At 45.7% G+C, this 16,951-nt stretch overlaps 1 protein-coding gene across 7 annotated transcripts in view, besides 6 other annotated features; it reads right to left on the bottom strand.

Annotated features, from left to right (window-relative positions):
• The window catches only part of TTC39B (tetratricopeptide repeat domain 39B), a 143,595-nt gene extending 128,424 nt beyond the window's left edge, over positions 1 to 15,171 (bottom strand). For 6 of the 7 annotated variants that reach the window (XM_047422829.1, NM_001168341.2, NM_001168339.2 and 3 more), the window contains exon 1: positions 15,039 to 15,171. Coding sequence is in view for 5 of the 7 variants with exons in the window: in NM_001168341.2 (NP_001161813.2) it covers positions 15,039 to 15,080 (42 nt within the window). In the remaining 2 variants the exon portion in view is untranslated. Of the gene's footprint in view, positions 1 to 7,304; positions 7,717 to 15,038 lie in introns of those variants that run through there. The other variant, XM_024447422.2, reaches the window with a different exon arrangement.
• Positions 12,785 to 12,854: a silencer, noted in NCBI's record as "silent region_19777". NCBI's record gives its function as "represses an Ori minimal core promoter by ATAC-STARR-seq in GM12878 lymphoblastoid cells {active_cell/tissue: GM12878}" and the evidence as "EXISTENCE:reporter gene assay evidence [ECO:0000049][PMID:35858748]".
• Positions 13,809 to 14,372: an enhancer, noted in NCBI's record as "H3K27ac-H3K4me1 hESC enhancer chr9:15305852-15306415 (GRCh37/hg19 assembly coordinates)". NCBI's record gives its function as "activates a minimal SCP1, AML or CMV promoter by ChIP-STARR-seq in primed H9 embryonic stem cells {active_cell/tissue: H9 hESC(primed)}" and the evidence as "EXISTENCE:reporter gene assay evidence [ECO:0000049][PMID:30033119]".
• Positions 14,736 to 15,055: a silencer, noted in NCBI's record as "silent region_19778". NCBI's record gives its function as "represses an Ori minimal core promoter by ATAC-STARR-seq in GM12878 lymphoblastoid cells {active_cell/tissue: GM12878}" and the evidence as "EXISTENCE:reporter gene assay evidence [ECO:0000049][PMID:35858748]".
• Positions 14,736 to 15,498: a biological region, named in NCBI's record as "H3K27ac-H3K4me1 hESC enhancer GRCh37_chr9:15306979-15307541".
• Positions 14,936 to 15,498: an enhancer, noted in NCBI's record as "H3K27ac-H3K4me1 hESC enhancer chr9:15306979-15307541 (GRCh37/hg19 assembly coordinates)". NCBI's record gives its function as "activates a minimal SCP1, AML or CMV promoter by ChIP-STARR-seq in primed H9 embryonic stem cells {active_cell/tissue: H9 hESC(primed)}" and the evidence as "EXISTENCE:reporter gene assay evidence [ECO:0000049][PMID:30033119]".
• Positions 15,086 to 15,425: a silencer, noted in NCBI's record as "silent region_19779". NCBI's record gives its function as "represses an Ori minimal core promoter by ATAC-STARR-seq in GM12878 lymphoblastoid cells {active_cell/tissue: GM12878}" and the evidence as "EXISTENCE:reporter gene assay evidence [ECO:0000049][PMID:35858748]".

The raw sequence follows: 16,951 nt of genomic DNA on the forward strand, positions 1-16,951 counted from the left end.
AATTAGCAAATATGTGTAAAGTTTACTTTTTGTAAGTACATTCATAAGGCTAGAATTTTACAGACAGGAAAGAATCATAGTTAATGCCCACATCCCATTCCTGTTGGATGCCACAGCATGTATGCCAAAGAAGGAATAGTTCTTCTCAAGGCAGCCAGGAATGCTAAATACAGACAAAAGCCGTGTAACTACAACAGGTCAATGATGGACCACATACACCACGGTGGTCCCATAAGATTGGAGTGGAGCTAAAAAGTTCCTGTCGCCTAGTCACAGCCATTATAACACACAGTGCAATGAGTTACCTACATATTTGTGGTGATGCCGGTATAAACAAACCTACTGCACCAACAGTTATATAAAAGTATAGCACATACAATTATGTATAGTACAGAACAATAAAAACAACTGTTACTGGTTTATGTATTTATTATACTGTACTATTAATCGTGATTTTAGAGGGTACCCTTCTCCTTCTACCTATTAAAAAAAGAAGAGTTAACTCTAAAACAGCCTCAGGCAGGTCCTTCAGGAGGTATTTCAGAAGACGGCATTGTTGTCATAGGAGATGACAGCTCCAGCCATGTTACTGCCCCTGAAGACTGTGACATTGGTGATCCTTACCCTATGTAGGCCCAGGCTAATCTGTGTGTTTATGTCTTAGTTCTTAAAAAAAGTTTACAAGTAAGAGTAAAAAACTTTTAAAATAGAAAAAAGCTTGAATAAGGATATAAAGAAAATATTTTGTATAGCTGTACAGTGTGTTTGTGTTTTAAGCTAAGTGTTATTGTAAAAGTGCCAAAAAGTTTTAAAGAATTTAAAAGTTCATAAAGCAAAAAAGTTCCATTAATCAAAGGTTTATTATTAAAGAAAAAACATAAATGTGGTGCAGCTTAAGTGTACAGTGTTCATAAAGTCTATACTAATGTGTAATAATGTCCTAGGCCTTCACATTCACTCACCACTCACTCACTGACTCACCCAGAGCAACTTCCAGTCCTGCAAGCTCCATTCATGGTAAGTGCCCTATACAGGTGTACTGTTTTTTATATTGTATACCACATTTTACTGTGCCTTTTCTATGTTTAGATACACAAATACCATTGTGTTATAATGGCCTACAGTATTCAGTACAGTAACATGTTGTACAGGCTTGTAACCTGGGAGCAATAGGCCATGCCAGAGAGCCTAGGTGTGTAGTAGGCTGTACCATCTAGGATTGTGTAAGTGCACTATGATGCTGGCACAATGATGACATTGCCTCATAACACATTTCTCAGAGAGCATATACTCATGTAATGACATATAACTAGTTGCTGAGCACCTGGAGGTGGGCTGGTACCTGAGGGAGGTCTGAAATGATTCAAAAGAATTGTCCAGGTGGGGGAACAGTGTATGAAAAAGTTGGGAAGAAATGACCACCTTTTAGGAAATTGGGCATGAGAAAAGAAACCACAAGCACATCAGAATGGCTGATGTTAAAAGTCCATGTTAGGAATGCAAGATCCTAGGACCTACTGAGCAAGAATCGCTGGCGGTGAGACACAGGGATGTGCATTGTAACAGGCCACCTGTACCCCAGCCAGGTGATTTCTATGCACACTAAAATATGAGAACCACTTAGGAAGATGCTAAGAAAGGCCTTACATGTGTTAAATCAAGTTTAGCCTAAAGCTGCCTCCTTACATATTTTAAGTTTGGCCTAAAGGTTTCTCTGTACATCGTGAGCTACAAGTGGAGGTGTAAACAGACCTTACCTACACTTGTGCCAATCACCGAGTTTTGGTCCATCAAATGTAGCCAACGGTTGGAACCGTGTTCAAATAAAGCAAACTGTGGGCTGTAACCAATCCAGCTGTCTCTGTACCTCACTTCCGTTTTCTGCACGTCACTTTCCTTTCTCTGTCCATAAATCTTCTTCCACCACATGGCTGCACTGCAGTCTCCGAGCCTGCTCTGGCTCCAGAGATCGACTGATTCACGAATCTTTCATTGCTCAATTGAACTCCTTTAAATTTAATTCTGCTGAAGTTTTTATCATATGTCATGCTAAGGTATTTGCATGTTACTTTAAAGGCAATGAGAAGCTGTGCACAGATTTTAAGAGGCAAGGCGAAAATGGACTTGCATTTTAGAAAGAGCAGTCTATTGTCAGCTGCTAGCAGCTGGAAAAAAAAAAAGCAGTCTAGCGCAGTACACTGCTTTAGGGCACAGCAAGAACCCTAGAGTCCCTCCAGGGCTCAGGAATGCTTGCACACTCTTACTTCCTTTACCTTTTAGCCTCTTACGTTCAGTAACTGAACACAAACATACCTTTTACAGGCCATAGTCTCCTACCAACATCTAGGTGCTACCTGAAAACCCTGTAAGAACTTTATGACATTGACCAAAATGTTTGGAGAAAACAAAGGTTACAACACCATTTATGTGTCAGCGACCAAATGCTGTTTCCAAAATATTGCTGGCATTATCACCTCCCTTGCTGACAAATATTAACACTTTTCAGTTTTAGATAGAGCTGGAACAGATGGCCCTTTGAGCCCCTGTTTACTGCTCTCTTTTGTGTGAAGTGGTTTCCCCTCCCACTCAGGAAAGGAAAGGAAAGGTGGGAGGATGTAAACTTGAAGAATTTCCCAGCTGGAGTCCTGGGTATTAGCCTGAGAGGTGACTTATTTATCCTACAGGACTCCATCACAGAGGAAGGTTTTTCTGCAAGACTCTGGCTGGGCCAATCTTTACACAATGCCTGTGAGCAGCCACAGAGTGCAGCCTTGACAATGCCACAAGCCAACTTCTGGGCCCCCCACGATAAGCGCTGCATAGGCCTCCCTGAACCCTCACAACAGGTTCTATTATCGCCATTTCTCTGGTGAATATGGAATAGATAGATTGAGTTAACTTATCCCAGGTTATACATGGAGGAGCAGGGATTCAAGCCCACGTCCAACTGACTCCAGAACTTACAACCAAACCAATTAATGGGATGTGTCAAGTAATTTTCTATTTTTCCTATTTTTTGATGCTTACATGCACATGAAGGAAACAAGCACATTTAATTCATAAGGCTTACAATACATTACAAACAAACTTAAACACCCCAGAAGGTCAGAAGTTTGCTGACCACCTAGTACCAGGGTCAGCAAACTTCCTCCATAAAAGGCATATAAATATTTAGGCTGTGTGAGCCACACATCTGTTTCCCAACTGTACCACAGTAGGGCAAAAGTAGCCATAGGCAACACCTAAACAAATGGGTATGGCTGTGCTCCAATTAAACTTTATTTACAAAAATAGGCAGGAGGTGGGCAGGCTGCATTTAACCTCTTAGTCAAGTTTGAGAAGTTTGTGGCTGCTTGACCTAGTGTAAAGGGCAAAGGGTTTAGAGTTAGGGAATCTAGCTTCTAACCCTGATTCTGTGCCTAAGCCAGCTGAGTGACCTCGGGCCAATCACTTCCCTTCTGCTTCTTCTGTAGAATTCTCTTTTCAATTGACTGCAAAAATAAGGTAAAAATATATTTCAACATACTGAAATGTTAGCTGCAGATTCTTCATTAAATCCATAGATAATGAACCAGTAGCAGCAAGACTTTAAAAGCATAAAGAGAAAGTAAATTTGCATTTTAGTAGTACCTTCTATGTGTCAGGTGCTTTATAAAATATAATCTGACTTCATCCTTCATAAATGAAGAATGTCAGAAGTGAAATCACATGTTCAAAGTCAGAGAGGAAATGGGAAGCCAGAATCTAAGCCCAGCTGGCCACTCTCTCAGAAACTCAGTGCTGCTCTGCACATGGAGGACCTGGTATGGGTCAATGAGCCCTTGATTGATGATTCTGCACAGGGGGTGACATATGAGTACTTTTGGGGGAGGATTTTGGAGTCAGGCCTCACTTCCCCCTCTTGAGGACTCTCCCTCTCTGTCCTCATCTGTCTTGTCTACCTCCTCTCAAAAAGATAATACTCCATTTGGTCTGAAAAACAATGTGAGACTCTGAGGTTTGTTTCCTTTGGTTCTGAGTGTAAGGACTGTGACTCATGGTTGTCCAGAATGCCAGGACAAAGTGGTCTGAGAAAACAGGGAGGGAAAAAAGGAGGACCAAGCATTTCCTCAAAGAAGCTGTGACTGGTCCTGCTGCCCACACGAGCACCGTGGCTCAAGTTGGTTTTCTATCTCAGAACTTAGTCCGAAGGTAAAAGTCTATGTGATGAAATATAAACCTGTGAAATTACCCAAGTGCCTCTGACCTTGTCTGTCTCCTTAACCACCCACTGCATTTCAGTTTACAGGCATCCGTTTAAAACTGTACCTTAGAAATGGGGTTGGGAAAGGGAAAGTGAAACCAAACAAATGGAAATCATTATTGTTGCTTCCTTTACCCCAAAAGAAGAAGAAAAGCAAAAATATTCCCCAAATACAGAAGGGTGCATGTGTGTCTCCACTGTCAAAAAAAGCAATTTTTTTTTTGAGAAGGAATTTCACTCTTTTTGCCTAGGCTGGAGCTCAATAGCTCAATCTCGGCTCACTGCAATCTCCGCCTCCCAGGTTCAAGCAATTCTCCTGCCTCAGCCTCCCGAGTAGCTGGGATTACAGGCATATGCCACCATGCCCAGCAAATTTTTGTATTTTTAATAGAGACTGGGTTTCACCATGGTGGCCAGGCTGGTCTCAAATTCCTGATCTCAGGTGATACCCCCCTGCCTCGGCCTCCCAAAGTGCTGGGATTACAGACATGAGCCACTGCGCCTGGCCAAAAGCAAATTTTTTTAAAAGGCAGGGCCAGGCATGGTGGCTTATGCCTGTAGTCTCAGCACTTTGAGAGGCCAAGGCTGGGGGATCATGCGAGCCAAGAGGATCCCTTGAGCCCAGGGGGTCAAGTCTGCAGTAAGCCATGATCACACCACTCTAATCTAGCCTGTGTGACAGAGCAAGACCCTGTCTCTTTAAGAAAAAAGAAAAGAAAAGAAAAAAGAAAAGCCAAACTCGGTAGCTAAGCATTCAAGGCCAGATTCTGATCAATCTGGCTGGAACACACTCACAGCAGCTCTCCTGCATTAATCACTTAAAGGGGGCATATACTGTGCTCCAACCACATGGCCTCCAGCCTACTTCACCACGCCTGAGGAGCGCAGTTCCCCTGCTGTTCCCTCTGCCTGAAGGAATGAGGGGTGATCTCCTCCCTTGCTGCCTGCTGAAATTCCACCTCATGAAGCCCAGGTCGAATGTCACCTTCTAGAAGACACATGTCAAAAACTCAAAGGAACTTTTACAGACAGATCATCAGTTTCAACTCCTTCGTGTCGCCTATGAGGAAAACAAGGCTCAAAAACATTAAGGGACTTGCTCTAAGTCACACAGCTAGTCAGTAAAGACTTGGTCTGGAAACAAGTCAGCAGGTGGGGTGGGCAGCAGGCAGGAGAGAGAATGTCCAGGTGGACCACCCTGTGACAGCCCTCTTCTCCTTGGAGCACAGGACACTTGAACCCTCTCTAGACTCTACCCTGCACTCCAGGTTACAGCTGTCTGTGTCCATATTTCTAACTGCCTTTTTCAGAGGGATCCACACCATATCTTACCCATCATGTTGCCTTAATTATTAGGTACCCTTGGGTCGTCAGTGAGTCCCAATAATCATTCAACAAACAAAACAAAACACCAGCCTCCGTCACTCTGGGCTTGTCTACCTCCAATCAGCCTCCACGCCTTGCCAGGGAGCCACCTAAAATACTGCTTGCTCCCCACCACTCCTCACTGAAACCCGCAGATGCACACCATGATCTCCACAATCTGACATGAAAGTCTCTGAACGGCCCTTCTTACCTGTGATGGTTAATTTTAGGTGTCAAGTTGACTGGATTAAGGGATACCCAGATAGAGAGAACAGGTAAAGATTTTATTTATGGGTATGTCTGGGAGAGTGTTTCCAGAAGAGACTGGCATTTGAATCCATGAACAGGGTAAGGAAGACCTACCCTCACCCAAAGTTTTGGGTACCATCCACTCAGCAGAGGACCCAGATAGAACAAGAAGACAGAGGAAAGCCAAATTTGCTTTTTCCCTCTTCTGGAGCTGGGAAGTCCTTTTTCTCCTTCTCTTGGACATCAGAACTCAAGGTTCTCCAGCATTCGGTCTCCAGAACTTGCACCTGTAGTCCCCCAGGTTCTGAAGCCTTCATCCTCAGACTGAGTTATACCATCAGCTTCCATGGTTTTGAGGCCTCTGTGCTTGGACTGAGCCACGCTACCAGCCTCTGCAGCTCTCCAGCTTGCAGACAGCATATGGTAGGGCTTCTCACGCTCCATAATTGTATTAGTCCATTTTCATACTGCTGTGAAGAAATACCCAAGACTGCATAATTTATAAAGAAAAAGAGGTTTAATGGACTCACATTTCCACACGGCTGGGAAAGCCTCAAAATCATGGTGAAAGATGAAGGAGGAGCAAAGGCACATCTTACATGGCAGCAGGCAAGAGAGTGTGTGCGGGGAAACTGCCCTTTATGAAAACATCAGATCCCATGAGACTTATTCACTGTCACAAGAAGAGCATGGGAAAACCCACCCCCATGATTCAATTACCTCCTACTGGGTCCCACCCATGACACGTGGGGATTATGTGAGCTATGACTCAAGATGAGATGTGGGTGGGAACACAGCCAAACCATATCAATAATCATGTGAGACAACTCCCATAATAAATCCCCTCTCATCTATCTATATATTATGTCCCATTTCTCTGGAGAACTAACAAAGTACCCTTCCAGCCTTGATTCCTGACACTCCACCTGTCCAGAGCACCACAGGATCTTCCTCACCTCTGCACCTTATCCCGCTATTCCCTCTCCTGGAAGACACTTCAAGAGCTCCCCCTTCCCCACATCACTTCTCCATGGCTAACCCCTACTCATTCTTCTTGACTCAGAATGTCTAAGAAATGGCCTCCTCCAGGAAATCATTCCTGACTACCCTCTCTCCCAGGAGAGGTGCCCTCCTCTGTGCTCACAAAGTACCCTGGCATCCCTCCTCCACCAGGTGGTTCTCAGAACACACATGTCCCCACTCTCCACTAGACCATAACCTGAGGCAGGAGCTGCATTTGCTTGTCCAGCACCTAACACAATACTCAACACATTAAGTCAGACTGAAAATTGTCACTCACTAGTTACCTTCAGATCCAACAAACATACAATGTATCATTTCACCAAAATATTTTAAAATACGTAGGCCCTATGTATATGACAGCATAATATCAGCAGTACCAAGGGGACACATCCACAGATCACAACAAAAAGCATTTACTACACACCTAGTCTTTAAATAAAGAGCTGAAGATGCATGATGGCATTAGGAACTGCCAGGCACTCCCCACTTCAGAAGTCCCTTTAGAGAGGTGTGATGACATCACCAATACAGCAACTGGCCGCGGTGGCTCTGGGTATAAACGGACTTGGTGCATCAGGAGGCAGCACAGATCCACGAAGCACAGGGGGAGAAAAGGAGAGTGCTGACTAAGGTGGTGGCCAATGGGAGGCTCAAAAAAGGAAAATCTCTCCCCCAGGAAGCCTCAAAAGCACCCACAGGAGTCCCCAGGTACTCATCTTTGGGAAGTGAATACAAAGTAACTTCAGGAGACTCCGCCTGAGATGCTACTGGGGCATCCAAGACTGGAGATTGGTCGGCTGTCAACAGATGGCTAGATGGAAACTCTGAGCTTCACTGAACTCACAGTATCAGATTCACACTAAATGACTGGTAACAGCACCCATGGGCAGGAAACTGAGATAAGAAGGCAAGCAGCTAGCACAGGAAGAACTGATACTTGTCTGCAGAAGCATATGTGTTACCCAGACTTGAAGGGAAGGAAGTGGGTATCCAGGTACAGGGGGAGGAAAAGTTTCACTAGAAAAACAGCTGTCAAAAAACAGGGTTTCAAGAGACTCAAGATTGAACATTTCAGGAAACATTTCAGGAGAATGTCTGTTTGTTAACCTGAGCTGGAGTTGGGACTGACGGTAAAGTGATGCTGCTTCCCTCCACTAACTTGCATTACCAATTTACAAACACCCTTTCTTAATTCTGCCCAAATGCATACCCTCATGAACAAATGGCCCATGCTCCGCAATCAGAAAATTCAGTGAGGCATAGGGGTTAGTTTCATCTGCTTGCTGTCCTTCCCCATCTCCTACCCAGCTGAAAGGAAACAGGAATAAACTCTACTCCTTCTCCTTAGGGGACAGCACCCCTACCCAGCCACACAAGGAACCCAGAATTATTACTCAATGGCTCCTCCCTCACTGCACCACTGACCCTCAAACTGGGGGACAGGCCACCAAGTCAAGTCCTCTTTCACGTTCTGAGAAATCCTTTAACTCTGGCCTCTTCTGTCCAATGCCACAGCCTCTACTCTACTTCATTACTCATCATCTTCCACACTAACTGTTGCAACAGCCTTTTGTCCTCCTTCTGCCACCTCCACATCCTGGCTTCATCCACTTCACCAGATTTATCTTCCTAAAATCAGCAATCTTACAACAATTGCCTCATCAAAAACCTTCCATGTGGCTGGTTGCAGTGGCTCACGCCTGTAATCCCAGCACTTTGGGAGGCCAAGGCAGGTGGATCACCTGAGGTCAGGAGTTCGAAAGCAGCCTGGCCAACATGGCGAAACCCCGTCTCTACTAAAAATACAAAAATTAGCTGGGCGTGGTAGCAGGCACCTGTAATCCCAGCTACTCGGAACGCTGAGGCAGGAGAATCGGTTGAACCCAGGCTGTGGGGGCAGAGGTTGCAGTGAGCCGAGATCCCACTACTTCACTCCAGCCTGGGTGAAAGAGTAAAACTCCGTCTCAAAAAAAAAAAAAAAAAAAAAAAAAAACCTTCCAGGTTCCCATTTTTTAGGAGATACAACCCAAATTCCTTAGCGTGACATTCAGGACACAATGACTCACGACCCAAGTCAGCCTTTTTGGTTTCTGCCCTTGACACTCTCCTTCCCACTGTACCAAGTGCTCTCTTATTCCCGCCCATCTCAACTTCCCCCAAGGCCTTCCCACTGGGGAGCCCAACACAATCCCACTTGCCCTTTGAAACCTAGTTCAAATACCATCTCTCCTTTCAAGTCTTTGCCGGACCCTAAACAAGGGAAGCCAATCATCCCTGTTTGTACCTGTTGTCTTAGTGCAATTACTGAAAGCGCTCATTTACTCAGAGTGCCCTGCTTTGAATGATAAATTATATGACCTTCCTACCTAAAACCTACCCTAACCCAAAGATAGAAATAGTACAGTGACTTGTGTTAAGTGTTTTGCTTGACGTTGTGCTCCTCAAGGGTAATAACTGTCTTGTTTTAGTGTGTACATCCAGCATTTAAAGACTGTTAGGACCTGCCAGGCGTTCAATGAACGTTGGTGGAATGAAAGAATAAATCTCAGCTGGGAGCAGTGGCTCACGCCTATAATCCCAGCACTTTGGAAAGCCCAGGTGGGCGAATCACCTTTAGTCAGGAGTTTGAGACCAGCCTGACCAACATGGAGAAACCCCGTCTCTATTAAAAATACAAAAAATTGGATGGTCGTGGTGGTGCATGCCTGTAACCCCAGCTACTCGGGAGACTGAGGCAGGAGAATCACTTGAACCCGGGAGGCAGAGGTTGCCGTGAGCTGAGATCGTGCCACTGCACTCCAGCCTGGGCAACAGAGAGAGAGTCCATCTCAAAAAAAAAAAAAGAAGAAGAAAAGAAAGAAAATTGTGGTAATGAATTTTATCAAAACTTCATCTAAACTTCCAAAGAGAAATTAGCCAAATCAGAATTAGATCTAAAAATTCCTGGGCCAAAAAGCAGGCGGTAAAAACATGTCACATAAGCCATTTATTTCCTAGTCAGTGTCTTAATTTTTTTCATTATCAACCCTCAAAGGAGCCTAAGTATAAAGCTTACTTTTTTAATTCAATAACAGGATCAGAATGACTCAATAAATATTTTAAAAGTTAAGTGTAAGGTTGGGCACGGTGGCTCACGCCTGTAATCCCAGCACATTGGGAGGCCAAGGCGGGTGGATCACTTGGGGTCAGGAGTTTGAGACCAGCCTGGCCAACATGGTGAAACCCCATCTCTACTGAAAAAAATACAAAAATTAGCTGGATGTGGTGGTGGGCGCCTGCAATTCCAGCTTCTCCGGAGGCTGAGGCAGGAGAATCACTTGAGCCCGGGAGGCAGACGTTACAGTGAGCCAAGATCATGCCACTGCACTCCAGCTTGGGTGACCAAGCAAGACTCTGTCTTTAAAAAAAAGGCCGGGCGCGGTGGCTCACGCCTGTAATCCCAGCACTTTGGGAGGTCGAGGTGGGTGGATCACAAGGTCAGGAGTTCGAGACCAGCCTGGCCAATATGGTGAAACCTCGTCTCTACTAAAAATACAAAAAAATTAGCCGGGTGTGGTGGCACATGCATCACGCCACTGCACTCCAATCTGGGTGACAAAGCGAGATTCCGTCTCAAAAAAAAAAAAAAAAAAAAAAAAGCCGGTGCAGTGGCTCACACCTGTAATCCCAGCACTTTGAGAGGCCGAGGTAGGTGGATCACCTGAGGTCAGGAGTTCGAGACCGGCCTGGCCAACGTGCTGAAACTCTGTTTCTACTAAAAATACAAAAATTAGCTGGGCATGGTGTTGGGCGCCTGTAATCCAAGCTACTCGGGAGGCTGAGGCAGGAGAATCGCTTGAACCCGGGAGGCGGAGGTTGCAGTGAGCCGAGATCATGCCATTGCACTCCAGCCTGGATGACAAGAGCAAAACTCCATCCCCCACCAAAAAAAGAAAAAAATGTTTAAAAAGCTATGAACATTTGGCCGGGCGCAGTGGCTCATGCCTGTAATCCCAGCACTTTGGGAGGCTGAGGCGGCCGGATCACGAGGTCAAGAGATCGAGACCATCCTGGCCAACATGGTGAAACCCCGTCTCTACTAAAAATACAAAAATTAGCTGGACGTGGTGGCACGCACATGTAGTCCCAGCTACTTGGGAGGCTGAAGCAGCAGAATCGCTTGAACCCAGGAGGCAGAGGTTGCAGTGAGCCGAGATTGTGCCACTGCACTCCAGCCTGGGCAACAGAGGGAGACTCCAACTCAAAAAAAAAATCTATGAACATTTAACTTTATAACTGTATTTGCTGAGTGACTTTTAATATAATGTTAAATATAATGCATCAAATTATATATACAAATTATCAATTTCTATACCTACATAATAGCAATGTAATCAACTTTTCAAAAAACATTCAAAACTGTTATTTTCCAGCAAAAGTAAAACTATTGAAAAAATCATTTTCTGAAAAGTGATTTTTTTTTTTTTTTTGAAACGGGGTCTGTCACCCAGGCTGGAGTGCAGTGGCATGATCAGAGTTCACTGCAGCCTCAACCTCCTAGGCTCAAGTGATCCTCCCACCTCAGCCTCCAGAATAACTTAGGACTACAGGCGGGCACCACCATGCCCAGCTAACTATTCATATTTTTATTTTTGTAGAGACAGGGTCTCACTGCGTTACGCAGGTTGAAAAGTGATTTTTAGTGAACTTTTGTTTCATATGAGAAAAATTTTTTTTTTTTTTCTGAGATGGAGTTTTACTCTTGTTGCCCCCGCTGGAGTACAATGGTGCGATCTCAGCTCATGCAACCTCTGCCTCCCAGGTTCAAGCGATTCTCCTGCCTCAGCCTCCCAAGTAGCTGAGATTACAGGTGCCCGCCACCACGCCCAGCTAATTTTTTTGTTATTTTTAGTAGAGACTGGGTGTCACCATGTTGGTCAGGCTGGTCTCGAACTCCTGACCTCAGGTGATCCACCCGCCTCAGCCTCCCAAAGTGATGGGATTACAGGCATGAGCCACCACACCTGGCCTCATATGAGAAAATTTTTAACTTAATTAGCTGCTAGATATTAATTCAAATACTGTCAATGTTTTCCTTTTTGGCACTTGAGATAATTATTGGTGAGCTGAATAATCTTAATTGAATTAAATAATAAAATATAAATGATTTTCATTCAATTCTCAAATCCTTATATTTGAGGGCCAAATATAAGCAAGCCACAAGGCACCCAATGGTAGCCCATAAGTATGTGAAGGTAACCAACTAAAATGACTTCAAGATCAGGCAACTAGAGAGAAAGTCTTCCAACCACAGCCATCTCTACGTTATAAATTTGTTGGATTGACCTTGAATATATTCTGTACATCTTCCATGAATCCATTATCAATGTTGCTAGTGTAATACACAAGAAAACCCAATGAGAGAAATTCAAATATTAAGAAACAAGCTTTTGTTGATTGAGCTTTAAATGGCCACACACCATTATAATATCTAAGATGCTTGTGCTCCCCAATAACCAATTTTTGCCTCCAATGAGGATGCAAGTCCTAACTTCTATGCTCCCGAATTTATCATACTAGCACCTAAAAAACACAAATTAAAAAATCAATTTAGCCAAGAAAACCTCCATCCCACAGCTACCATGGGAGCTTCTCTACCATTATCATTCATTCCTTGGGTACTTTTAAAGAAAAAGATTTCCATATTATTAGCCCTTCTCCCAAAAGAAACTCCCTCTTCCCCAACCTCCCCCCCGACCCCTCTCCCCCATCTCAATAAAAACCCAGATCTTTAGAGCTGGAAGAACACTTAGGGCTAATCCAGCCCCTCCTTCTTCAGATAAGGGAACTGAAAGAGCCCTCTGAGGTTGACAGACTTGCTCAATCAAGGTCAACAGTCATGGGAAGGACCTTGTCTGTCTTGTTCACTGTTGTACCTCCAGGCTAGTACAGGGCTTGGCACCTAGTCAGCTGTTTACACACATAAGTGATGAACAAAGAGAAGAACCAGGTTACCTAAAAACCTAACCTGGTACTTTTCCAACTATATCACTTTGTCCCTTTTAACTCCCCCAGAATATCAAATAATGGCCATTAAAAACTATCAATATCAAATAAAGACTATCAGACTCTTCTTAAATACGTGAAAAGCTTCCTAGCTGAAATAAGCTATTTGCGCACCCAGTAAAATTGAAGAGCAGGGTCTTATGAACTCGAGGTTAGAGTTCTTCAAGCCCATTTACGGTAAGGGACTTTCTACAAATAAATCAAGGGTATCCAGTCTACAACACACTACTTCTTACTTGCTTACATTTACTTGAGCTCCTTTTTAGAGTTCTTGTACCCAGGTCATATCTCCCTAATCAGACTGAGAACCATAAAGAGGCAAAACTATGCCTTCTCTAAGGCACCTACCAAGTTTGAGCCCAAAGTAAATGCTCAATAAACGCTTGCTCAGTTTATAGCAATGGAAGTGGTAAACTGTGAGGGACAAAAGTAAATTTGGCATGAACAAAGAATTCAATTTGTATTTTGCTCATCAACTAGGACTAGTACAGTACCTAGCATGTAACAGAAGCCTAATAGTTAATGAATGAAGAAAAATAAATGAATGATATGGCAAAAACTGAGTTGTTATTAAGCAACATCTTTTCTGCAGTCTTTCATTCATTCAACAAATATTTATTTACCAAGTATCTGTGTGCCAGGCTCTCTGCTACTCTGAAACCTAACTTCCACCCAGAGTTTCACCCACAGAAACCTAACTTCCCTCCTCATCGGCTAATGCATCTCAACCGTTCATCTAGTAGGCAGTGAGCATAGCTGGGGTGACCATTTGTCAAAGTATCTCCGAAACAGTCCCAGTTTACACCTATTATCCCAGTGTTAATTAATAATAGCACCGCCTCAACAATGCCCTAATCTAGAGAATTACATAGTTCTAAGCACAGCAAATCTCCTACAAACAGATCGGGATTCAAATATTTCATTCTACAGTCTTGGGATCCTCAATGCAAGGGACAGGCTGTAAGCAAGGGTCTGGACAGCCCGGCTTGCCCTCTTGTCTCTCTGTCATGCAGAGGAGCTGTAGTTCAGTTTTTGTTTTTTGTTTATTTTACGGAGCACATTTAAAGTATAGTCTTCCTTGTCAGGAGATTCCTGGCACTAAAGAGATGGACGGGAAACTTAACCGCCTCCTCCAGATCGTCCACTATTGCATCATTTGAAACCAAAGCCTTCTAAAGGCAGCGACTCGCACAATTCAAGTCAGGTAAGATGGCAGGAACAGCAGCTGTGGGTGCTGGCTGCTGCTGGAGCCTCGGTCTCAACTTCAAGAGCAGGGAGAGCGCTGTCTCTGGAGTTGCCAGGTGCTGAAATGAATAGTCAATAAATCAACAGGTCCGGCGCGCTAGCCCCTGGGTGCTCAGGCCCGGGCGCGCCACGACTGAAGGAGTGGCTAATTACTCAAACACAGTTGAAACCAAAGGAGGCCGGAGTCGGTTCTCAAAGTGGTTTCCCTCCGGCCACCACCGACTCTGAGGACCTGCTAGGGGAAGTGTCCCGGCCCCGTGGAGGGAGAGGGAAGCACCACAGCCTGGGCTGCGGCTCTAGCCCTCCAGCCCCAGCCCCTGGCAGCCCTGCCCTGCTGTCGCGGCAGGTACCCCTCTACTCATTGTTCCTCAGGCTGCCCCCTCTTTTCATCAATCGTAAGCCTTTCGGTTCTGCCACCAGGAAACTTCCATAGAAGGTGAGATTCCCAGGTCGAGGGATGATTCCACGAACACCCAGAGAGCCAGTGCCAGGACTTCAGGGTCAGACTTCGTAAAGCCCAGGCGTCGCTGGGCCGGCCCGGAACAGCTCAGAGCTGCGGGTCCTATGGTCCCGCGCCCTCACGCCCATCCAAGTGCTGGCAGGACGTGGGTCCTCCATCCCCACGACTCGCGGGGCCGGCGCTCCGAACCTCGGCACTGCGTCCGCTCCGCGCGCCGCAGGGACCCTCCTAGCTCCAGCGGGGACAGACCTACCAAGGCCGGGCGCCCCCACCCGGCGCCCGCCAGCCCACCCCAGAGAGGGGACCAAGGGGGCGGGGCCTCGGCCGTCCTAGCCGGGCTCACTCTTCTCTCCCGGACTCCTGTCCAGGGCTTCAGGGGCCGGGCCCGCAATCCCCATCGGATCGTACCTCGTCCGCTTCCAGCTCCGCTCGGCTGCCTAAGAGCGCCATATTCCTCCTCTGGCTGCTGCCACCCAAAAACCAAGCAGGGAACTCAGAGCCGACTCCTGCTCTCGGCTCTGGGCTCAGCCCAGCGCAAAGGAGGGCAAAAGGGGACGGCCCGGCGCTCCCTCCGGGTCTCGGGCGGGGCCTGAGTGCAGCTACTCGATTTCCCCGCCCCCGGAGCCGGCAGGCCAGCACAGCATCCATTTCCTCCCCGGACGCCGCGCCGCTGGCCGGGCCACTTGCCCGGCCCCCAGCGGGCGGCAGCCCCGCCCAAGTGGGTGGAGTCACCTCCCAGATAAAGTTTCCCGGTCTGGCACGCCCTCTGGGAGGGTTTCCTAAGCTTTCCTGCCGCCTGTTCTCTGCGGTGGCTGGGCACACCTGGAAAGAAGCTAGAGAGCGCGGGCATGACGAAGCCAAGGTCAAAGCAGCGCCCCACCTGGGGTCCGTGGAAGCATCCACCTGGTCTTTGGTCCGGTGCCAGTCCTTTTCCCTCGCCAGGTGGCCACCGCATCTCGCAGATGGTGTGGCCTGAGGGCAGCCTTGGGTCACGGTCACTGGTCCCCGAGAGGCCTCTGACACACCACCCACCTGGACTGTAGGTGGAAGGACTCTGCTTGCTTCTGTGTTCAAAAAATAGAAAAAAACGCGGGACAGAGATTTATACATATTGGAACTCCTCTACTTCCCCCTACCCGGACAGTGTATTCTCCCCATAGCATCCTGTATTTTGTAACTCCAAACATAGGTGTATAATTCGTGCTTGAACTATAAACTCCATGGGGGTAGGATGCTATCTGTCCTCTTCAAGACTGTATCCCCAACACCCAGAACAGTGTCTTGCACATCGTAGGTGCTCAACAGATATTTGTTGGCTGAGTTTAGAAACTGAACCTTGCTTCTGACATGTAAAATAACTGGAAAATTAAAAGCTAGATCTTTAAGAGTTTGGGGGAGAGAGGTCAGATTTACTTTACATACAGAAAAATGCACCAAGTTAAATGTGTGATTCAGTGACAAGTGTTTACAAAGCATCCCAGTCATAATATAGAACATCCTGAAAAGTTTTCTGTGACCCTTTGCTGTCAATTTCCTACCTCCGCTCCCTAGCCTCTGTCAATCACTGATCTGCTATCAACATCGATTTGCCTTCTCTAGAATTTCATATAAATTTAATTAGAGCATGTGGTCTTCCATGTCTGGCTCATGAAAGGCTATTTAATAGTCATCCAGTGATAACTGTAAAAACAGCTAATAGTTCTTGAGTCCTTACTATGTGCCAGGACTCTACTGAACCTCTTGCATATAGTATTTCATTTATTCTTCATAACCCCATAAAGTAGGGTGCTGTTCTCTTTCAGATGAGTAAACTGAGGCTCAGAGAGTTCAAGTAATATGCCTGAGGCCAGACAGCAGTTAAGTAAGTAGGGATGCCAGCATCTGAACCCCAGCAGTCTAACTCTAGGGCCTAGCTGATAACCATTGCTTTGTACTGTACTGGCTCTAGCCACCCTCCCTCTCTTTCTTTCTGTGTCAGTAGAGCAGTTGTCTGTGCAAGTCCATTACATACATTTTCAGTGAGTCACTTTGCATCCTTAATACTTGCTGTACAATTTTAATGGCTTGGCATGTACTTTTGTACTAGAATAATAAAATGGTTTCTACAGCAGAAACATTGAAAAAATGGGTTAGATCGTGTGATGGTTGCTCAACTCTCTGAATTGTCTAAAAATCCTTGAATTGTGTACTTACAATAGGTGGAACTTATGATTATGTAAATTATATCTTAGTAAAGCTGTTTTAAAAAAACTAGCTGACACAGGCTAGGTGTGGTGGCTCACGCCTGTATGGGATTACAGCACTGGGAGACTGAGGAAGGA

Source organism: Homo sapiens, chromosome 9 (assembly GCF_000001405.40).
Source record: "Homo sapiens chromosome 9, GRCh38.p14 Primary Assembly".
In the NCBI taxonomy this organism is placed as follows: Eukaryota; Metazoa; Chordata; class Mammalia; order Primates; family Hominidae; genus Homo; species Homo sapiens.